Genomic DNA, 24,637 nt, shown 5'->3' with positions numbered 1-24,637 from the left:
GAGCAGTAGAGTTCTCCCAGTAGTAGTGCTAAGTGCTCCCTAGAGAGGGCAGAAGCATGAAGCTGACTGTTTCTCTTCAGGGGCTTTCATGGGTTCTTGGGAGGCCCCCATCAATGCAGATTGCTCGCTTCAGTTTCCTTGACACGAATGAATGCATTCCTATTCTGGCTGATTGCTCGTGGCTCCACCCATAGCCCCCGGGCATCTCAGATTCCACTTCCAGCTTCTGTCTATCAAGGTCCCGTTGCCTCTTCAGGTGGTCCTCTTGGGTAGCATCTAAGATGGCTCCATACTGGCGTTCTTTTGCGCTTGGTCCATATTTGGTCATGGGAAACACTCATGCATTCTTTACTCCATCAAACTCCAGGAGAGGAATTATTTTCCAAGTCGCGGCCAGCTGGTCAGGGGCCAGAGGCCACTCTAGCCAACCTCATTTCCCATCCTTAAATTTCTCAGACACAACTCACACCTGTCCACCGTATACCACAAACAGCAAAGGACTCATTTTAAGCTCTTTGAGAGATCTGCTTAAAGTCATTTGCCTTAGGCTTGAGATAAAGTGCAGCTGCCACCCCTCTCCTTGGGGGTGAAGAAATCTTCTTCAAAAACCCTCTGAGTGCCAACTCCTGGCTCTTTTACACCCTTGAGATAGGTGGGGGATTTCTCAGTACCTACTTTGAAAATGTTTGTATTTTGTTCCAGCACCTCCCTTTAGAAGGTACCTCTGCCAAATTTTCCCTTTTAATGTCTTATTACACTTAGAACTCAGAGAATGAGCTAATGACTCATCCTCCCTGGTGGTGGATGGGAAGGCGCCCTTAAACAGCCATTACGAGACCTTGATTCTTGTCCTAACCTCAGCCCAGTTTCTCCAGGTGACCTTGGGGCAGCCCTTTCATTGCTGTGGGTCTCTGCTTCTCCTCTCAGTGAAATGGAAATCAAATCTCTGTTCTTGCCCTCTCTCCAGGGAGGTATTGTGAGGAATAATAAGGCAATGCCTATAAAGTGCTTTAAGTACTTCGGGGAAAGACGTTGGCTAAATACCAAATGATAATAATAACACCGTCATCATCATTCACATTATTATTCATGGGTTGAGAGGAGAAAGCGGTTGCTGATGGTGTCTTTGCTCTGTGGGAAGGAGGACTTCAGGCCCCAGGATGTTCTATCAATAAGTCAAAGCCAATAAATACCGAGCACTGGAAGTGGAAGTTATCTAGCCATAAAGGCTGAATGTACATGCCCATTTGTATTTGAAATGACAACAACCGATTCTATTTCTCATTTTTTATTTTTATAGCTAGTGCTCAGAGCAGCTAGAAATGAGGGGAAATTGCGTTTCTTTTCAGGAGGATGGGGGAGCAAAGGGCTCTTTTATATATATATAAGATTTTACTACCCACCACTCTCTTCTTAGAATGCTTTTTTTTTTTCTACTCCTCCCAAATCCTCACCTCTATTATCCATTCCACTTATTTCTGAGTCAAAGTTCTAATCAGCAGACAGGTTTTGTCAGTGGTAGAAGATGAGCAGAGAGGATCAAAAGTGAGCCATAGGGAGAACCAGACTCAGAGCTTAGAGAAGAGAAGGAAGATGCTCCCTCTCCTAAACCTCTGATCCAAACTCATTTGTTCATCAAAAAAGAGAGTCACAATGCTTCAAGCACTGTGCTAGGCACCAGAGCTAGGTTGGTGAACAAGAAACAGACCCTGCCAGAATTTCAGCCCCTTAAAATCCTGCAAAATCAACTTTGGTGGCCAGGTAAGATGGCACCATTCAGTGAACAGCAAGGCCTTTATCTGGCAATGTCACTCTCAGGGGTGATAATGTAGTATTACCTTGAGATGCATCAGCCCTGAATGAGTCCCAAGTTTACATTTCTGGTTCTAGAGAAAAGTTTTTTCACCACCACCCGAATGAGCAGTGTATGGTCAGGAATCCACAAGATCGTTCCCCAATGCATACACATCTTAAAGCATGTGGCAGTAAACGCTGTAGACTTCAAGAAGACAAGGTTTCCATTCAAATGCACTGCTTTCCTCTTAAATTTCTCTGACACCCAGTTTCTTTATCTGCAAGTTGAGACTAAAAAGAGTGGCTCCATATACTTTCCAGACGTGCTGTGGGTGTGAAAGGAAATGATGAAAGCAAGGGTAGCTGTGAAGTTCTACTCAGATGGAAGTTGGGAGCTGTGGCAGAACTGCTGCTCACGTTGTGCCAGGTACCTTTTTGGATGAACAAGCCCCTGGAACTGTATCTGGAGATTTAAGCACTCAGCCAAGCTGCCTGGGCAATGGTGGACTTGCTACGTTCTGTTCCAGGAGCCTGTGGGTACTGAGGGAATAGGAACTCAGCTTTGTTATCTTTTTTATTTTCAAATTTTATACAAACCGTATTTTTTTCTCGTTCTAAAAGTAATATATAGGATCTTTGTAAACAAAAAGTTCAGACAATAAAGATATAAGAAGAGATTTTAAATATTACAGAGTATTGCCTTCCAAACTTCTTGGTGTGCATTCACACACATATTTTTTCCCCCAAAAGATGGGACCTTTATTGTTTTACAATCTGCCTTTTTGACTTAAGAATGTGTCCTGGCCAGCTTGCCACCTGACTTATTTAAAAGGCTCTCTGACCAGGTCTGGAGCTCTCTTCTTGAGACATAGCATCCCCTTTGAGCTCTTTCAGCATCCTTTAAGGTCTCTTTGATGGGGTTCAGTCACTCCCAGTGGCTACAAAAAATGAGAAACTTCCCCCAGCTCAAAGAAATCCAAATCGGGTATATTTACAAGCCCCACTTGCTAGGTTCTGAGACATTGACATCTTGTCATTTTTCCCCCACTTTTTCAAATTTCAAGTTGCAGTTTGATGTTGAATTAAAAATGTTGCCAGGGGCTGCCTGCAGGGCCCTCAGGCTAAAACAGTGGCAGCATCTGCCAGGGGAGACCCACAGGTCCTTCTTCAGACCATGGCAACGTACAGCTGGCATCTGAGCCCAGCAAAGGAGGGGAGAAACATGCATGTGAAAGGAAATTCAACGATCACTACTTTTTTTTTTTTAAGCCGACATCGTCAAGTCTTACCCATTTTATTTGGATTTTATGACTTAATGCCCATGGGGCATTTTGTGATCAGATTTTTGCAAAAGGGTGAAGAGATTGCAGCAACTTGCAAGAGAAAGGTCAGACCTTGTTAAACAATGCAATTGAGAATGAAAATAGGGGCTCCACGTACTTTCCAGAGGTTAAATGCCAGTCCTCATCTTAGGACCCTGGATGAATCACATGAAGGGGACAAGCATGGAGTTTATCAACAAATTTCTTTCATGCATTTGGGGTGTTTGCTGAGAAGTTCAGATGAGAAAATGCATGTGGACATGCTCTGGAAACAGGGAAGCTTTCTACAGATGAAGCCCTGAAGTCCTCTATATGCTTCTTTAAGCACTGGCCTGCGAGGACTCATGTGGAACTGGAGACAAGAATTGCCTCTAGAAAGAGGAGCTGGGTTGCTGGGAGGCAGCAGAGGAGGGGACACTTATTCTTCACTCTAGATCATTTCCTTTCTTCTGCATTTTGTACCATGTATCTGATGTACCTTTCAGCATAAAAAACAATGAATCAACAAATAAGTACTTTAGCTTAAAGGACTCTTGGGCCCTGGAAACATTCTTTAGGAAAAATACTCTTTGGCAGTGACAGCCTTTCCTTATGTGTGAAATCATGCTAAAGTCCACTAAGTCTTTTCACTGAACAGCACTAATGGCTTCATTCTTTCCTATAGAGTACTTTTTGTTTAAAAATAAAAAAGAGCATTCAAATCAAAGAACCAGCAAAAGTCTTCCATTATTATTGTCTTTATAATAATGTGCTATGTATTTTCTGACCGTGGAAAAGAAGTGATAGCCTCAGATGGCATACGTGGCTATTAATTAATGAGACTGGCTTCTGCACAAGTCTTGTGATTGTCACTATATTACTTATGCTATACCTGTTATATATGAGTAATATTATATATATTATATACTCATTACTATGTCATTCTAGCTCATTCTCAATCCTAGCTGTGCTGCCTTGGACATTTACTAGCTGTGCTCCCTTGAACAAATTACTTAACCTTTCTGAGCCTTCGTTTCTTCATATGTAGAACGGGTGCTAACAGTAGGAACTGCCCCAAAAGGTTGTTATGAGTTAAATGATACTGCCTAGGGCCTGACACAGTAAGTGTTCAACAAACACCATTCTTATTATTAATGTTATTTTTATTACAACTATCTTTGGAGATAAACAAATGTTGAAACCTCAAACTGATCCATAGGTGTGTTGGGGAAGAACAATGGCTGTAAAACAGAAAGGAAGCAGTGTGAAAGAAAGCTTATTGTCTCAAGGTCTACAAATCTTATTGAGCAAATCCACACAATTCTCATAAGCAATACCTTGCTAGGTGGCATGCCTCTCAGAGTGTCTTTATCCTGATTTTATTTTACTACCCTTCCCATCATATCTTTCTCCCCTACATGTTGTCTTTCACAAAACAATAATAGAGAGAGCCATTGTATCCTACGAATGCCTGAGATTTAGCCTTTCACTTCTTTAGATTGAGAGCTGCTCCTGGTGATGACTGTGGTAAGTGATGAATGCTGGGGGAATACATGAAGAATAAAGGTACCTAAAAATTGCTCATTCTTTTTTCATTCCTTCAACAAATAATTATTGAATGTCTGCTAGTGGCAGACACTCTTTTAGAAAAGTTGTTCTCAACTGGGGACTATTTGCGCCCCCCAGGGGACATGGGGCAATGTCTGGAGACAGTTTTGGTTGTCACAACTAGGAGGCGGTGTGCTACTGGCAGCTAGTGGTTAGAGGTCATGGATGCTGCTAAACATCCTACAATGCACAGAACAGCCTCCTATGTCAAAGAGTTATGCAGCCCAGAGGTCAGTAGTGTCAAAGATGAGAAATCCTATTCATTCTAGAGGCTTGGGAAAATTATATCTGAAAGCAAAATTCCCTGCTTTTGTAGAATATAAATCCACAAACAGTCAGAAAATAGACTGTAAAAAGGATAAGTAAATTAGAAAGTGATGTTTTGTTTTTTTAAAAACACAAAGGTAAGCAGGGTAAAAAGTATGAGTGCTGGGCCTGGGGAATGTTATAGAGGATGTTCAGAAGGGGAGGGGGTGAGATTTGAGCACAGATTTAAGGGAAGTGACAGAGATAGGCAAATAGATGCCTGTGGGAAGAGCATTCCAGGCAGAAGGAAGAGCCACAGCAAAGATCCTAAGGCACAGTGGCCTGGCATGTTCACATAACATCAGGGAAGCCAGTGTCTTGAATGCCATGAGCAGGGAAGAGGAGTAGAAGATGAAGTCAGAGAGTGGGCAAGAATCCAGTCCACGCAGGGCCTTGTGGGCCACTGCAAAGACTTCAGTGTTTACCCTGAGGGAATGGTTCTGAGCAATGATTTTGAGACATACTCTGACTTCTATTAGCTGCTCTGTTGAGAACAGAACAAAGAGGGGCAAGGGTAGAAGCAAGGGAACCTATTTGTTAGGTGGCTATTGTAAGAAATGACAATATCCTGGATTAGGGTGGTAACCGTGGAGGTGTAAGAAGTGGGCAGATATATTTTGAAGACAGAGCTAACAGGATTTGCTGATGAATTGGAGTGAAGAATAACACTACGGGTTTTGGCCTCAGCAACTAGAAGGATGGAATTACAATACAGTGAGATGGGAAAGGATGGCTGGGCTAGGGCAGGTTTAGTGAGGATGACTGGGAGTTCAGCCTTGGACCCATTAAGTCTCAAGTGTCTATTAGACACCCAAATGGAGATGTTGAATCAGCAGTTGGATATATAAGTCTTAAATTCAGGAGGGAGATGAAGACTGGAAATGAAGATGTGTGAGTCAACAGAATTGAGATGGGGCATGATGAGATGACCAATAAAGTGTGTGTAGATGGAGAAGAGGTGCAGGGACTGAGCCCAGGACACTGCAGTTAAGAGCTTGGAGAGAAGAGGAGGAACCAGAGAAGGAGACTGTGAAGGATTAAGCAGTGAGACAGAAGAAAATAAAGAGAATGTGTTATCCTGAAAACAAAATGAAAAAGTTTACCAAAGAGAAAGGAGGCATCCATTGGTCAAATGCTGCTTATGGGTTTAGAATGATGAGGACTGATTATTAACCATTGGCTTTAGCCAAGTGGAGGTTATCAGTAAACAGGATGAGAGCAGTTTGGAAGGAACTTGACTGAATTGGGTTCAAGAGAGATTGAGAGACTGGATGCGGTGGCGCACACCTGTAATCCCAACACTTTGGGAAGCCGAGGCAGGAGGATTACTGAGCCCAGGAGTTCAAGACCAGACTGGGCGACAGAGCAAGACCTGATCTCTATTTTTTGAAAACAAAATTTTTTTAAAAAGAGAAAACTGACAGAAGATAAATTGAAGACAGGAAGCACAGACAACTCTTGAGAAGTTTTGATGAAAGGGGAAGCAAAGGATTAGGGTAGCAGCTGGCAGGGAGAATGGAGTCAAGTGAAGGTTTTTGTAAGGTAGGAACAACAGAGCAAAAAATGTGTTGTAGAGAGTAAAAAATTGATTATATGGGGAGAAAGGACAGATTTGCTGGAGTTATGTCTTGAAGTAGGTGAGAAAGAAAAGGATTTAGTTCAAAAGGAAAGGAATCAGCTTAGATAGTGTATGGAAAGTTCATCAACAATAACAGGAAGGCAGAGTAGGTGGAGGAAAATGAGAGGTTTAGGTTTGGTTGCTGATTGCTTCGGCTTTTTTGATGAAGTATAAAACTGACTCACCAGTTAAAAATGAGGATTGCAGAGAAGACGTTGGAGACTTGGAGAGAAAAATGTGTAAAATAGTTGCCTCAGCTATAGGAGAGTGAATGAAACCAGGGCAAATAAGAGGTTGCTTGGCAGCATAAGGAGACACTTGAGCTTCAAAGCCATCCTTTTAAGGTAAGACCTGCCAATGTGGTTGTGGGATTTTCTCCAGCACATTCAGCTGCAGGGATACAAGTTCAGAGTAGGTAGATGATTTTCATTGAGTATGATGAAGTGAAAACAGGAAACATAGTAGTCCAAGATATATGTAAAGGAAAATTATAATAATTCCTCTCAGAATTTAAGCTATTCATCTTTTAATAATGCACATTTTTATAATGTGCATATAATCTTATCACATAGAAGTAGATTAAAAGCACTTTGTTGAATCAGCCAGATCCCAAATTTGGCAAGCTTTTCATGAATTCATAGAATCAATGCAGGTCTGGAGATGTCATCTAGTCTTCTCTTCTAGCTGCTTTGCTAAGCAGCTAAGACTCTTGCTGTTGTTGTATTTTTATGTCTCCTGAGGAGATGACATCATTCCCCAGAAGAGCAAGACTAGCGTTTATTAGCTCAAACTTACAGAAATATTTTTCAAATAGCTTAATCAAACTTCCCATGCTTCTATTTAATTATTTCCTCTTCTTGCATTCTTAGTAGTGATAAGGAGCAACTATTCTTTTATGTAATTAATTTTAGTTCATTCAACAAATGCAGAATGATTACTATCAGCTAGACACTAGGTATACAATGGTGAGAAACCATGGTCCCTGATCTCCCCCAATTTCATAGTCATGTGGCTAAATACAGATGATTTCAATGTGCTATAACAAGGGATATGATTGGGGAGAAAGAGAGTCTTACGTGAACACATAACAGAGGCACCTAACCCATTTGAGGAGAAGAAGGAAGGAGGGAAAACTCATGGAAGGATTCCAGGAGAAAGGGATGCAGAAGTTTAGAAGGAGTTAGGTGGAAAGAAGGAAGGATGAAAGTGTTCCAGGCAGTAAGAACATGTGTGAGAGCCTGGTGGAGACAGAGAGCACTATTTGAGAGTTCATGGTGCCTAGAGCACAGAGAGGCAAGAGAAAACAGATGGAGATGGGGCTGGAGAGGCTGGCAAGAGCGTGTTGGAAGGTTAGCCATTATATCAATAATGTGGGCTTCATCTTAGGGGCAGCATTGTTAGGTTTAAACAGACATCATTAATTTGTGCCTTGAAAAGTTCACTCTGGCAGCTTGATGTGGATAAAAAGTTGGAGGAAAACACCTCTAGGGACAGCAAAACTCACTGGAAGACTGTTGCAGTCATGGGGGTGAGAGACAATGGTGGCCTAGACTAGGCATATGGCAGTGGAGCTGGAGAGAAATGAATGGACTCACAAGATGTTTTAGGTGGTTGAATTGACAGGTCTTGAGTGATTTATTGGCTTTGGAGAGTCAAAGAAAGGGGAGAGTCAAAGAAAGGGAAGAGTCAAAGAGGATGCTCCAGTTTCTGACTTTGAAAACTGAGTGGCTCATGATACCATTTACTGAAATATGGTACATGGAAGAATAAATGTTGGAAATGTTGGGATTCAGGTGATCTGTGACATATCCAAAAGTGTATTTCAAAGAGCAGCTATACACAGGATCTGGAACTTAGGAAGGAGAGAGAGAGGTGTGGGGAGAGGCACATTAAGAATTATTTGCAAATATATGGTAATTGAAACCATGGGAATGAAACAAGCCATCATCTGTGTTGGGTATGGAGAAGGGAAGACTTAAGTCAAAGCGCTGAAAAATGCCAACATTTAAAGGATGGGCAGAAGAAGGAACCTCCAAAAGAAGCTGAGAGGAAATCAGCCAAAGAAGTAGGAGGGAAAAATCAGGAGAATGTGAAGTCATGGAAGTCAAAGGAAGAAAGTGTTTGAGAAGAAAGAAATGGTCAACAACGTGAAATATTGCCAAAAGGCCAAACAATAGCGCCTGGAAAGGGCCCACTGGATTTAACTATGGCAGCTGAGAAGGCAGAAACCAGACTGCAGTGAATTAAGAAGTAACTAGGAGATGAAAATTCTAGACAACAAATGTAAACAATTATTTGAAGAAGCTCATTATATCTATATGCGAAGGGGAATTAGAAAAGAATTGGGCCCAAATCTTCACACAAATTCTCTCTTAAAAGACACATTGATCCCAGGTGTCAAAATATCTCAGAGAAAACATTTTCATGTGAATTTCCAAATTTCCAAGATAATTCCCATTTATTTTTTAAAATTAGGGACAGGGTCTCGCCATGTTGCCCAGGCTGGTCTCAAGCTCCTGGGCTCAAGCAATCTGCCCACCTTGGCCTCTCAGAGTGCTGGGATCATAGGCATAAGCCACTGCACCCAGCCGAATTTCCATGATAATTTCCTCAACATTCCATGTTATTTGAGAGCACCAACTCAGCCAAAGACAGTTATACTAACTCATCTCAAATTTCCTTTCTTGGAAAAAATTATATTTCCTTAAGTAGGCTCCAAAAATCTACTACCCACTAGTTGTTTTTGTGGCTATCCTCAGAACAGTTTCTAAATTCAAGTTTCTCTTTAACCACTGAAACATCATGAAATGGAAACACAGCAACATAAAATATAGGAGGGGGACTCATCAGCTAGGTGATAGGAAACTGACTGGCTAAACAAAAACAAACCCCCCCCCCAAAAAAAAGGATTTATCCAAAGGCTATGAGAGAGCTCACACAAACAAACACATGAAACTAAATTACCAGAAAGGACAGGAACCAAAGCAGTTTTGGGCACCTGTGTGGCAGGAACTGCTAAGAACTCTCTCTTGAAGGTAGCACTCTCAGGCTGCAGCCTGCTTGGGTCACAAACTAACCTTTGTCTAGGGAAAAGAAGGATGTCTTAATTGACAGCCCCACGAAGAGGGGGAGTGGATATGTCCCAAGGAAAACTGAGGTGCCGGAAGAGGGAATAGAGACTGGACGTTCACCACATCCCCAAGGAGATTCAAGTACCGGAGTGTTAAGCTGCATGCAAGATCTTATGCAGTTGGGCCTTGAATAATAAACATTTAAACCAAGATTTCCTCCAGTGTAGCTTTTCTTGGCAGCAACACCCATTCTTTGGCTATAATTTCTACCTGCCTCTTCATTCTCTATCTCCTTCCTGGGCATAAATATATAGACAAATCTCCATGTGTTACAACAGAACATGCTGTTGCCCTCCCTCTGGCCAATCTTCCTCCTTCCTCTGAATTAGAGTTTCAAATCCCAAAATTCAGCCTGGGACATTGATGGATGGAGCATGTGAGCTGTGCATCTCCCCTACCTGGCTCATTTGATTAGTGGAGACAGCTGAAATAGGAAATTCAGGCCCCAAAGTATGTTTTGAGTCTGGATGATTCCATTTGGCTGAATCCCTAGACAGAGAAACTGGAGAGCAATCAAATACCCACTTTTCTTTGTGTTGGGCACATGTAGCAGGCTGAGAATTCTGATGCCTTTGTAGTTAAATAACCTTGTACACTTCCTTGTTATCCCAGACTAGAATTAGCCTTTATGTATCCCAGTGATTGCTTAATTGTATGCGAAAAGAAATGTCAAGATCTTTCTCTTTTTAACTTAACTCTAGAGAAAGAGTTGCAAAAAGGTTATGAGCAAATATGACAAAGTAAACAACAGGTGTGTTTCTGGAAAGATACATGTAAATGATTTGGGGATTTTGTTGTTGTTCAATTAACAAACACCCATTTTTCTCTGGGCTCCCAAGTTTGGAATGGCCTCATTTTTGCCTGAGCTTCAGTCTTTTGAGGCATGATAGTGTGGCAGTAAGAAGTATGGCTTTTGAGGCAGCTAGCCCAAGATGGAATTTAACTGTACTTTTTCCTAGCTATATTCTCTTGGGCAAGTTTCTTAATGTTTCTGAGCCCCATAATCGATGTTTTTAAAATGAGATTTGTCCTCGTCTTTGTGGGCAATGCACAACAATGCACAGTACTTGGCACAAAGTAAGCACCCAGTAAATTTTAGCACTTATTGTTACTTTTAGCTCTAAATTTCTGTGCACCATGCATGTTTATTGCAGCACAATTCACAAGTGCAAAATCATGGAACCAACCCAAATGCCTATCAGTCAATGGGCGGATAAAGAAACTGTGGTAGATATATATACGATGGAATACTACTGAGCCATAAAAAGGAATGAATTAACAGCATGTGCAGTGACCTGGATGAGATTGGAGACTATTATTCTAAGTGAAGTAACTCAGGAATGGAAAACCAAACATCATGTATTCTCACTAATATGTGGGAGCTAAGCTATGAAGACACAAAGGCATAAGAATGATACAATGGACTTAGGGGACTTGGGGTGAAGAGTGGTAGGGGGGCGAGGGATAAAAGGCTACTAATAGAGTGCAGTGTATACTGCTCAGGTGATGGGTGTGCCAAAATCTCACAAATCACCACTGAAGAACTTACTCATGTAACCACATATCACCTGTACCCCAATAACTTATGGAAAAATAAAATGATAAAAATTAAAAAAAAAAAACTAAATTTCTGTGCATTCCACTTAAGCAATTAATATCTTGAACACAATTCTTTTAAAAATTATTGTAAAATTAGAATATTTATTGTAGAACATTTACAAAATACAGAAAAATAATTTTTCAAAAAGACCAAAAGATTGCCCTTAATCCAACCACTGAGAGGTAACAATCCCTAATATTTTGATCTTATCTGTGCATATAGATGCTCTTTTTGTACTCAGTCTTTCAAAGTACTAAGAGAGGCAGGGTGCAGTGGCTCACGCCTGTAATCCCAGCACTTTGGGAGGCTAAGGTGGGTGGATCATGAGGTCAGGAGTTCCAGACCAGCCTGGCCAACATAGTGAAACCCCGTCTCTACTAAAAATACAAAAAAAATTAGCTGGGCATGGTGCTGGGTGCTTGCAGTCCCAGCTCCTTGGGAGGCTGAGGCAGGAAAATTGCTTGAACCCAGGAGGCAGAGGTTGCAGTGAGCCGAGATCACACCACCGACTGCACTTCAGGCTGGGCAACACAGCGAGACTCTGTCTCAAAAACAAAAACAAACACGAAAGCAAAGTACTAAGAGAACTGTTAATTAAAGGAACCCTGCTCCTATAAGTGAATCCTTTTAAAAAATTTTATTGAGATATAATTCATATACCACACAAGTCACCCATTAAAAGTGTACAATTCAGTGGTTTTTAGTATATCCACAGAGATGTGCAGCAATGAGCATTAACTAATTTCAAAATATTTTCATCATACCCAAAGAAACCACAAACTCACTAGTAGTCACTCCCTATTCCTTACTCTCCCCAGCTCTTGACAACTACTAATCTACTTTCTATGTGGATTTGTCTATTCTGTACATTTCATATAAAGGAATCATATATAATATGTGTTCTTCTGTGTCTATCTTATGTTCTTTAGCATGATGTTTTCAAGGCTTATCCATTTTGTAGCATGTATCAGCATTTCACTTATTTTTAGGGCTGAATAATATTCCATTTTATTTATTTTTATTTTTTTTATTTTTGAGACGGAGTTTCACTCTTGTTGCCAAGGCTCGAGTGCAATGGCTCGATTTCAGCTCACTGCAAACTCTGCCTCTAGGGTTCAAACGATTCTCCTGCCTCAGTCTCCCGAGTAGCTGGGATTACAGGTGCCCACCACATGCCCAGCTAATTTTTAGTAGAGACGAGGTTTCACCATGTTGGCCAGGCTGGTCTCGAACTCCTGACCTCAGGTAATCTGCCTGCCTCGGCCTCCCAAAGTGCTGGGATTACAGGCGTGAGCCACGCTGCCTGGCCTTATTCCATTTTATAGGCACCATACAAGTTGTTTATCCATTCTAGTTGATGGACATTTGGGTTGATTACACTTTTTGGCTATTATGAATAATGATGCTATGAAAATTCATGTACACATTTGTGTAAACATAAGAAGTGAATTCTTTTAAAAAGTAAAAACTTAAAAAAAATCTATAGTAGATCTCTAAAATGTTTTTCATAAGGCAGTTTAAATTTATTGTTACTTTCAATGAAAGAAAAAAGCACAGAGAATAGTTTAATAAAACCAAGGACATACCACACAAATTAACAAATCAATATTTTAAAGTATTTGTCCCAGGCCGGGTGCAGTGGCTCATGCCTGTAATCCCAGCACTTTGGGAGGCCGAGGCAGGCAGATCACTTCAGGTCAGAAGTTCGAGACCAGTCTGGCCGAAATGGTGAAACCCCATTTCTACTAAAAATACAAAGAAATCAGCTGGGCTTGGTGATGTGCTCCTGTAATCCCAGCTACTGGGGAGGGTGAGGTGGAAGGATCACTTGAACTTGGGAGGCGGAGGTTGCAGTAAGCTGAGACCCTGCCACTGCACTCCAGCCTGTAGGCAACAGAGCAAGACTCCATCTCAAAATAAACAAATAAATAAAAGTATTTGTCCCAGACCCAAATATTACAGTAGATATAACTTTTGAACCTCTCCACCATTCCATTTCCTTCCAGCCCCTTGAAGTAACCACTATCTTAATGTAAATTAAGAAGGCATTTTTGGCCTGGCATGGTGGCTCACGCCTATAATCCCAGCACTTTGGGAAGCTGAGGCAGGCAGATCCCTTGAGCCCAGGAGTTCGAGACCAGCTTGGGCAACATGGCGAAACCCCGTCTCTACCAAAAATACAAAAATTAGCCAGGCATGGTGGCGTGCACCTATAGTCCCAGCTACTTGGGAGGCTGAAGTGGGAGGATCACCTGAGCCTGGCGGGGTGGAGGTTGCAGTGAACCAAGATGGCACCACTGCACTCTAGCCTGGGTGACACAGCAAGACCCTGTCTCAAAAAAAAAAAAAGGCATTTTTATTATGCATGTATACTTAAACATTACTATATTTTTGAGACTTATCAGTGTTGCTACACATAGATCTGTTGTATTTATTTAATCTGTCATACAAAATCACACAATCAATTTACCCACTTCCCTACTGCTGAAACTTTAGGTTGTTTCTTGGTTTTTGTTAATGTAAACAGTGATGCAGTGAACATCCCTGTGCATGTCTTCTTGTGTCTCTAGATGTGAAATGACTGAGTTATAGGACATGCACATCTTCAACCTTAACCGATTTTGCCAAATTGCTCTCAAAAGTCAAGTTTCCTTCTTTGGGGCACACTTGTGCTAGCTACGTCAACGTTGTTGGTTTACACTATAAATTCTTTGAATGTAGGGCTCATCCAGTTTCTAACATGGACTGAATGGAAGAATTTGTCTAGGGAAATTGTGGGAAGATAGAAAAATAATACAATGTACACTCTGCTATGTGTTGAATTGTGTCCCCGAAAAAAAAAAGATAGTGAAGCCCTAACCCCCAGTACCTGTGATTGTGACTTTAATTGAAATAGAATCTTTGCTGATGGTCAAGTTAAGATTACTGTGTCCTCATTAAAATGGGAAATTTAAACCGAGACGTGCCCACAGGGAGAATGCCAAGATAAAGGCAGAGATTGAGGTAATGTATCTCCATATCCAGGCATGCCAAAGATTTCCAGGAAAGCATTAGGAACTAGGAATGGATTTTCCTTCAGAGTCTTGAAGGAGCCAACCCTACCGACACCTTATCAAGGAATGCTAGCCTCCAGAAGTTTCTGTTGTTTAAACCACCTGTCTAGAAAATTTGGCTAGACAAGAAATTTTTGCTAACAAGTACCTTGTTACAGCAGCCGTAGGAAACTAATACACACTGGAATGAGTCATCCTGGCATCCAAATTAAGCATCAGTGATCTGAGGTTGGTGAATATTTCAAATCTGCTTTGGCATCAATTTCTCTTCCTTTTGTCCCTCTGAATGACTTCTCTTTCTTTCTTTCTTTCTCTTTTTTTTTTTTTTTTTGAGACAGAGTCTCACTGTGTCACCCAGGGTGGAGTGCAGTGGCACAATCTTGGCTCACTGCAACCTCTGCCTCCCAGGTTCAAGCAATCCTCTTCCTCCCTCAGCCTCCCGAGTAGCTGGGATTACAGGTGCACTCCAACACGCCTGGCTAATCTTTGTATTTTTAGTAGAGACAGGGTTTCACCATGTTGGCCAGGCTGGTCTCAAACTCCTGACCTTAGGTGATCTGCCCACCTCAGCCTCCCAAAGTGCTGGGATTATAGATATGAGCCATGACGCCCAGCCTGGATGATTTCTTCTTTGGCTGCTTATTGTTTTGTTTGTTTGTTTGTTTGTTTGTTTTGTTTTTCTTTGTTTGTTTGTTTGTTTTTGAGATGGAGGCTTGCCCTCTTGCTCATGCTGCAGTGCAATGGTGTGATCTCGGCTCACTGCAACCTCTGCCTCCAGGGTTCAAGCGATTCTTCTGCCTCAGCCTCCCGAGTAGCTGAGATTACAGGCATGCGCCACCACGCTGGTTAATTTTTTTGTATCTTTAGTAGAGACAGGGTTTCACCATGTTGTCCAGGCTGGTCTCGAACTCCTGACCTAATGATCTGCCCGCCTCGACCTTCCAAAGTGCTGGGATTACAGGCGTAAGCCACTGTGCCTGGCCTTGCTGTTTTGTTATTTAGGCCTAATTCCATCCACTGAACCCGGAATTTTCTTTGATCATAAAACACTTGTACTAGCCATCATCATGCTCCAGAAGTATCTTGCCCATTGGATCAACATATCGTAGACATTCGAAGTAGAAAAATAATGTCCTGGGCCAATATTTTCTTCCTGTACATTCTTTATTGGCAAATTTTCTCCAAGGGTTTCCTCTTGAATCCAGGAACACCTTGGAATGAAGAATATCTCTGATGCCTAATGCATCCTCTACATGAGTAGCCTGCGTCACTGAATACTAAAAGTAGAAAAATAATCTTACAAATCAAGGAGGAAAGAGATGGATGCTCTCAGTTACCCTGAACAATAACTAATCACAAAAGAACTAGTTATATGCCAGTAAAAGTATTATTACACACACAAAAAAAGGAGCAGTTCCAATTGTCTTGCTAGAAACTCCTTTAAAAGAGTAGGCAGCTCCTTTAGAAGAATCAGATGCCCACATGAACCTCAAATACTACGTTTGGCTTCTAGGACAACTAAGCTCTTCGGTAAAGCTTGGGGAGGAGGGGTAAATGGCAGCATTTAGCTTTTGTGACTGAACTGTGGGGCCTTGGAACCCTTCCACCCACTTGAAAAACGGTCGCCCATCTGATATTAATAGAAAAAGACCATTAAAAAGCTTTATGCTATTCTGTTCTCCTGGTTCTGGTCCCTCTTTGCCTTTGTTGCTGCTGGCATTTTATAAATTATGGATGCGCCTAGGTGCTGCTGCTCCCGCGTTTCCTCTGTAGTGCCGCTCGCTCCCCGCGCCTGCATCGCATCCTTCCTCTGAGCAAAGGACTGCGCGGCCCAGACCCCACATCAGTGTAATTAGCGCGCCGCACACAGCTCGGGTGTCAGGACTGCTTCCATTCACTGCCAGCCTTCTGCCAGGCCCTGTCATTCACGAGAAAGTCGGCCAGGCGGTGGCAAGGCCAGGAGCGCAGGCCTCCGCAGCAGGGAGGGGAGGCTCAAGGTGGAGACGCGGGGTCCCCTGCTGCCGGCCTGGGTGCAGGGACAGCGCTGGGATTCGGCAGCTGCCTCACACGATGTCTGATCACAAAGTTAGACAATGGGGAAAGGCATGACATTCATATCTGCCCCTTGACTGGTTACAGGGGAGGTTGAGGAGAGGTGGATATAAGGTGGGTGGAAAATTCCTAATGTGCCTGCAGCTGGAAGGGTTTTGAGGGAACCAGCAGACCAGTGCTTGCTGCTGCTTATGAGATGTGTAGCATCGGTGGTGAAGGAGGGTTATTTGGGGTGGCATGCTAAAGGACATTTTTTATTTTAATGGATTTGTGTTTGTCTTATATATCTGCATTATGTATCACCAACTCACAATTTCATGGGTTTTGTCAAAGTAGATATCTTGCATCCAATTTTATTTAAAGAAAAATTAAATTATGCCCAAGTGATGTGCAGATATGGCAAAGATGTTAAAGAGCACACAAATGACAGAGGGAGGTTTGGGAAGAACTGAAAGAGGGCCAAGGATTCTTAATTGTTTGGAGGGTCATGAATCCCTATAAGAACTTGAAGAGGCCAGGCACAGTGGCTCATGCCTGTAATCTCAGCACTTTGGGAGGCCAAGGCGGGTGGATCACTTGAGGTCAGGAGTTTGAGACCAGCCTGGCCAACATGGTGAAACGCCGTCTCTACTAAAAATACAGAAATTAGCCAGGTGTAGTGGTGGATGCCTGTAATCCTAGCTACTTGGAAAGCTGAGGCAGGAGAATTGCTTGGGAGGTGGAGGCTGCAGTGAGCCGAGATCGCGCCACTGCACTCCAGCCTGGGAGACAGAGCAAGACTCCGTCTCAAAATAAAAAGAACCTGGAGTTGAAGAAAGCAAGTCTCCGCCCTCCCCGACAAAAAAAATACATACACACAAATTTGATGTGCAAATGCAAAGATTTCACAGATTCCTGGAAGGCCATGCTTTGACCACCTAAGGATACATGGACTCTGTGTATCTATACAGTGAGCTCCTCAACGGTAGAAACTAGGCCTTATTCATCACTGTACCCAGGCACATAGGAGATCTTCAATGTTTGCTTGGGCAGGCACAGTGGATCCCACCTGTAATCCCAGCATTTTGGGAGGCAAGAGGACTGCTTGAGGCCAGGAGTTTGAGACCAGCCTAGACAACATAGCGAGACCTCTTCTCTACAAGAAATAAAACTAATTAATTAAAAAACTTAGCTGGGGGTGGTGGTTTGTGCTTAGAGTCCCAGCTACTTGGGAGGCCGAGGCAAGAAGATCGCTTGAACCCAGGAGTGTAAGGCTGAAGTGAACCATGATCATGTTACTGCACTCCTGCCTGGGCAACAGAGCTAGATCCTGTCTCTAAAAATGAAGTAAATCAATGAGCTGTCATTCAGATCCTCATTTTTCTTTTTCAAGAAATGAGCCTGGGGCCCAGAGTGATCAATTAATTTGTCCAAGATCACAAAGCTTAGGCAAAAACCTATGTCTTCTGATTCCCAGTTACTCCACTGTTTCCTACCACGTCTATGTTTAATCCCAAAACCACCCCTCTACTTCTTTCACCCTTTGCCTCCATCCCCTCTAGCGAATCTAATACTTTGAGATTCCAGAGATGGAAGAAAAAGTAGGTGAGAAGAGAAGGCAGAAAATGATCAAAGATGTCAAGTTTGCTCCAGGCCCTTCCTCATGACACCCCCACCCTACTTTCACCTGAAGCACCAGTGGAAGGGCAGCTGTCATCAATAACGGAGATACAAAGAGGGCAGTGACCCCAGGGCAGCCCTCTGTGCCATTTGTCATGATGGCATGGAGTAAGGAGATGTGTATATAGGTTTAATTTCCTTGGAGTGTTCTATCTACCTAAGCCCTTTCCCGGATGGTTATGAGATGCACACAGTTTACATAGGAGACCCATTAATTCTCTGTCTCTGGGGTTAATATTTAATTAGACAGTTTAAAAAATGCATACTATTACTGGGGAGACTGCTTCAGTGCTTGTCTCTTCCCTCTGGGATGCAGTGTTCAGACACAGAATTCTGAACCCCTCGTGGTTCCCATGGAAACCTTCACCACTGGTGACTCCAAGCTGAACACAGGGGATGGCAAAGGCCTAGTGAAGAGTCCAGATGTAGACTTAAAGAGCTCTGGAATCTCCTCCAAGGGTTCAGCCAGAAGCCATCTGACTGGCTATGACCAGTATTGGGGACTTTATTCTTCCAAAGGCAGTCTATCCAATTTTTGGACCACTCTGATGGTGTCAGAGGCCTTCTGTAGATTGAGCTCAAATAACTCACTTCTAGTTGTCTTAGGTCAACAATGTGTGGCCACAGAGATTAAGTCAAACTCCTCTTCATGTAAGTTCCTAGCTATCATTATTATTTGAGTATCTCTTATACGTGTGTAGATACTGTGCTAAGCAACTTAGGTATAAATCTCATTTGATCCACACATCAACCACATGACATAGGCATCATTAGTGTGTCATTTTACTGACAAGCTGACCAAGGCTAGGGGGCCAACAACCACCGGAATAGGATTCCCACAAACCCAAGTGTGTCTAAGTCTACATCCCATGCTTTCGACCATAATGACTCCTCCCTCTCACTGCTTCCTCTCAAGCACCCTTGAGATATTTTTTCTTTTCTTTTTATTTATTTATTTTTTTTGAGGCAGGGTCTTACTCTGTCACCTAGGCTAGAGTGCAGTGGCGCAATCATAGCTCACTGCAGCCTTGACCTGCTGGGCTCAAGCCCATCCTCCCACCTCAGTCTCACAAGTAGCTGGGACCACAGGCATGTGCCACCACACCTGGCTAATTTTTGTACTTTTTTGTAGAGATGTGGTTGTGGTATGTGCCCAGGCTGGTCTTGAGTTCCTGAGCTCAAGCAGTCCTCCCTCCTTGGCCTCCCAAAGTGCTGGGATTACAGGCGTGAGCCACCATGCTCAGTACTTGAGATATCTGAGGTACGCGCTCCTGTCTTGCCTCCCCTCTTGCCTCTCTGAGGATTCTCTTTTCTGGGCTAAGCTCCCTCAGTCCCTTCAGCCAAAAGAACATGGTTTCTGCCTCTCTATCACTCATAGGCAACACTGGGGATTCTCCTGTACCCTGCTCCAGTTGATTAGTCTACACACCCAGAGATGTCAAGCATCATTTCACTGTGATACCAACCAGGTACCCAAAGGTGGAGTACCACCTTCTACGGTGGAGCCCATAGGAAGTACATAGGAAGTACTAGTTACTTCCTAAGTAACTAGTTGAGTGTCCCATGGGTCTTTAATCCCCTCATTCAGAACAGAAATTGCAATGTGAGATGGAATAAAATTTCTGTTGGAAACAGAAACCTAAACACATATTATGTTCAGGTTTAACTCAAACCCACATGTATTTGGTTGCTTAAAATTTTCATCTGTTAAGCCATGTTTTCCAATCCTTTCCCTTTGCATTTGTTTGGAACTATATATAAATTTTTAATCTGCATTCCTGCCTATTTAAATTCCACCCTTAAATCTAGTTCATCATTCTAATCTCTTGATCATTCAGAACTTGGTACTCATAGAATTTTTTTTCCCAGCTCTGTGCTGTTCCTGAATTTGCCAGCCTTCCAGGTTTCTGAGTTGTTGATAAACACCGCACAGGAGACATGAGGACAGAACCCTTCAGTGGAGACCTGTTTGGATATTGCAGGGGCTTTCTGTGCCCCGCCTATGCGTGATTTCAGCGCTGTGGTGGGTAACTTTTCACACAGGGTCAATTCATGTGCCCCCTCTGCTGTCTGTCAGCTAGTCTGCCTTCAGGCTTTCTCCAAGGCTAAGGATGGCACCTAGGCCAGGAACACCATAGTTGGGCATAGGAGTGAGTGGATAAATGCCCAGCTTCCCATCTTTCAAAGGGACAGTTCCACTGAGGCACAGTGTACCTTGTTCCTCAGAGGGTCCCCAGGGAGGCTGGGCTCCAGTTGTGCCAGTGATAACCAGCCCAAGGTTATCAAATCTATTTATTAGCTTTTCTGAGTTGTGTCTCATTTTCCTCATTCTTTCAGTTAGGCTTCCTGGGATCACCTACCAAAGAAAACATCTGACCCAAATTTGTATCTCAGTCTTTGCTTTCAGGAAACCTAAACTGGGGCAGATATGGCAAAGAGATAGAGAGTTAGATCACTTCTGATTTCATTTCAGGACATCTTTTTAAAATGAGTGTTCATTTTAAAAATATTTATGGTGAAGTTCTTCATTAAGAAAATAATACATAAAAAAATGTACAGAACTGAGACAGGCTTGGTGGCTCATGCCTGTAATCCTAGCACTTTGGGAGGTCTAGGCTGGCAGATTGCTTGAGTCCAGGAGTTCGAGACCAGCCTGGGCAACATGGCAAAACCCTGCCTCTACACAATTAAAAAAAAAAAATTAGCCAAGCACAGTAGCACACACCTGTAGTCCCAGCTACTCGGGAGGCTGAGGTGGGAGGGTCACCTGAGCCCAGGGAGGTCGAGGCTGCAGTGAGCTGAGATCAAGCCACTGCTCTCCAGCCTGGGTGTCAGAGTGAGACCCTGGGTGTCAGAGTAAGACCTTGTCTCAAAAATAAAAAACAAAAAACACAAAACACAAAACACATAGATAGATAGATAGATAGATGATAGATAGATAGAACTGAAGGGAAATAAATCTAGCCATAATCCCACCACTTTGATAAAATTACTAGCTGGCATTTTTACATGTTGTATTTCTTTTCCATCTTTTTCTAGGCATATTTCAATATCAAGAGAATTACACTCTATATACCACCTTGTATCCTACATTTTAATTCAATGTCTTCTTATTCTTTCAATATTATAAAATCATCCTAAAACCATCACTTTTTTTTTCTTTTGAGACAGAGTCTCACTCTATCACCCAGGCTGGAGTGCAGTGGCCCTATCTCAGCTCACTGCACCCTCCACCTCCTGGGTTCAAGTATTTCTCATGCCTCAACCTCCTGAATAACTGGGATTACAGACATGTGCCACCGTGCCCAGATAATTTCTGTATTTTTTGTAGAGACGGGGTTTCACCATGTTGGCCAAACTGGTCTTGAACTCCTGGCCTCAAGTGATCTACCCACCTCAGCCTCCCTAAGTATTGGGATTACAGGCGTGAGCCACCACGCCCTGCCTGAAACTATTACTTTCAACTTCATTGTTTAATAATTATCTCCTGAGCAACATGGAAACATGGCAAAACCCTGCCCCTACAAAAAAAATACAAAAATTAACTGGGCATGGTGGTGTGTGCCTGTAGTCCAGCTGCTCAGGAGGCTGAGGTGGGAGGATTGAGCCCGGGAGGTCAAGGCTGCAATGAGCTGTGATCATGCCACTGCACTCTACCCTGAGAGACAGAGCAAGACCCTGTCTCAAAATAAATAAAAATAATTATCTCTTTTTTGGTCAGTCTCCCAGGGGTCCCTGTCCTCTTGAGGGCTGGGTCTATGTCTTACCTTTTTCTTCATAGCACTACCTCAGTGCCCAGCATACAGTAAGTGCTCATTATAGCTCATGAAATCAATGAGCAAACACTTCATAGTCTACCTGGTATTTTTGTATGTGAGCTGTTTCTAAATTTTCAGGATTGCCATTCGTGCCATGGCGAATGTATGGCATTTAGAACATCTTGGATTTCCCATCACCCCTCACCTTTCTGCATCTATGTTGGCCTTATTCATATAACAAACCTTGGCAATCTTGTTCATGTGAAAAGTGGTGGAGCAAATAACTCGGAACATGTTACCTATTCCATTGACTCTGCAACTTCCAAGCAGGGCAGTTCGACTTGGATATACAAACCCAGTAAGTAATCCTAAACTTGTCATCCTTATTGGAAATTTCCTTTAAGGTTATTCCATGCTGAGTAGTACTCCAGGGGTTCCTGGAAGGGAACACTTTAATTTCTTCCATTGATCACAGACATGAGAAGATCCAATTTATTTACCTGCTCACATCACCTAGTTTTCAAATGGCTTCTGAACACAGTGCCAATAAATAAATGATCATCCAGTAATAGGTCAAATTTATTTTTCACTTCTAAGGTGCCAGGTACTTTACATATAATTTTCATAGTACAACTCTCTGAGGTCACTACTATTATTCTTCATATTAAATAAAGAAAGAAATGGGAACTAAGAGAGGTTAAGTAACTTGCTCAGGATTACACAGAAGAATGAAGTGTAATTTCATTTTACAGAATAAAATATTTTTTATCAATAAGTAACTATTAACCTCCAAGACTGCTTCTCTGCATATGTGGAAAAGTGACCTGCTTAAATGATATTACCCAAGGGATATTAAAATATTGTCCCACCCCAAAACTTTACCTATTGCTTTATACTGCCATGGGGCCTGGAGATGCCATAATTAATTTACTTTTTGACTTATGGTACTGTCTGCAGACAGTCCTGAAAGAGAAATACAACTGTCCTAGTAGGAGCAGTATATTAAGACATTTGCACACATTAAGGCCGGACGCAGTGGCTCACGCCTATAATCCGGCACTTTGGGAGGCCGAGGCAAGCGGATCACGAGGTCAAGAGATGCAGACCATCCTGGCTAACACGGTGAAACCCCGTCTCTACTAAAAATTACAAAAAATTAGCCAGGCGTGGTCGCGGGTGCCTGTAGTCCCAGCTACTCGGGAGGGTGAGGCAGGAGAATGGCCTGAACCTGGGAGGCGGAGCTTGCAGTGAGCCTAGATCGTGCCACTGCACTCCAGCCTGGGTGACAGAACGAGACTCCGTCTCAAAAAAAAAAAAAAAAAAATTAATTTTTTAAAAAAAGTTATTTGCCCACATTAATACGTCAACCCTACTTAGGTTGTCAGATTAGTTAACTCTATGGTTCTTGACTCTACAATGTACCCCACACGTTGTAACTATTCTTCCTCAACAGCTTTTGAAAATATTACTGCCAGACCTCACCTGCCCCCTTGAGATTCTGATTCAACTGAGCTGAGCTAAGGCACAGGCAGGCTTGAGAACTCCTGAACTAACTGAGCATTCTATCACTTTATAAGATCTTGAAAACAATTGAAATATAGAATAACTAAGCTTTGTTGAGAATGTCTATTAAGATTCTGAGTAAAAGGGCAACTCCCAAGCTCAACATGTAATTGGGAAACACTAAAGAACAACAACAAAATGGGGGTGGAAAGGTGTTGAAAATCCGTTTTCTCCATTTCCCACATGTGTTTACCTTGGACCAACTGGGTTTGCTAGAGCTTTATCTTGGAGTTCTGGGGACTTTTCGTTTTTTTTTTTTGTTTTTTTTTTTTGAGACAGAGTCTCACTCTGTCACCCAGCAGGCTGGAGTGGGCACGATCTCGGCTCACTGCAACCTCTACCTCCCTGGTTCAAGCGATCCTCCTGCCTCAGCCTCCCAAGTAGCTGGAACTACAGGTGCCTACCACCACTCCTGGTTAATTTTTTTTCGTTTCTTTTTTTGTCATTCTTTCATTTTATATCTGATTATATGTAGTTTATTGGCTGATCTCCCGTCCTAGGAATCTTAGGCTGCATTCCTAGAGCAGGGTTCCAAGGCCTAGGCTGCATATGGGGCGGGAATAACACCAGCCAGAGATGAAATTGGGATAAAGCCAAGCAATTCATTTGGCTCAAGTGTCACTAGGAAGGGGGCAAGCAAAGAATCAGAAATTGGGCCTGAAGCAACAGGATGGGAACTGTAGAGTTCAGGATAGGGAGAGGGGTTTTTGAATGAGGGAGAGGAGGCATGGCCTGGAAGGATTCTCCAAGGCTCTAGCACATAGACAAGGAGGGCTTTAACAGCCACCTGTAGCATGACCTCAGGTAGGAAGGGAGCTATTGAGGCCACTGAGGCCTCTGAGCCAAGTAGAGAATTCTCCCACCCCAGCAAAATTAGCCTGGCAGGTGAAGAAAGCACGATTGCCTTTGTGTATTTTTAGAAGATGAAGTATTGAATCCCACTGCAGTAGTAGTGGTAGAAATAATTAATTTATTGATTACCCACTTGCTAGGTAGTGTTCAATGTATTTTATTATCTTACTTAATCCCCACAATAATTCTATAAGGTAGTTACAATCATGACTTTCTGGGATGGATATGGTCAATTGGTACTTAGCACCAATTTCCACCTTCTTTGAGGGAACTTTCTGTTTTCTGAAGGCTAGAAAACTAGCTCATTTCGTGAATTCCTTGCAGCTAGGGTCTAGATGTGAG

General features: G+C 42.6%; 1 long non-coding RNA gene across 1 annotated transcript, besides 1 other annotated feature; it reads left to right on the top strand.

Annotated features, from left to right (window-relative positions):
* Positions 457–626: an enhancer, noted in NCBI's record as "experimental_81818 CRE fragment used in MPRA reporter constructs". NCBI's record gives its function as "activates a minimal promoter by MPRAs in K562 erythroleukemia cells, with activity observed for both the introgressed and non-introgressed 5:145774510 variant alleles {active_cell/tissue: K562}" and the evidence as "EXISTENCE:reporter gene assay evidence [ECO:0000049][PMID:34662402]".
* LOC105378213 (uncharacterized) lies at positions 18,529–22,236 on the top strand. The gene is made up of 3 exons (XR_001742915.1): positions 18,529–18,773; positions 19,992–20,145; positions 22,019–22,236. It is a non-coding gene; the product is annotated as an uncharacterized LOC105378213 (long non-coding RNA).
* Positions 22,237–24,637: the final 2,401 nt, after the last annotated feature.

The sequence above is a fragment of the Homo sapiens genome, chromosome 5, assembly GCF_000001405.40.
Source record: "Homo sapiens chromosome 5, GRCh38.p14 Primary Assembly".
In the NCBI taxonomy this organism is placed as follows: domain Eukaryota; kingdom Metazoa; phylum Chordata; class Mammalia; order Primates; family Hominidae; genus Homo; species Homo sapiens.
The sequence above is the reverse complement of the archived record's forward strand: the minus strand, read 5'-3'. Positions and strand labels throughout refer to the sequence as shown.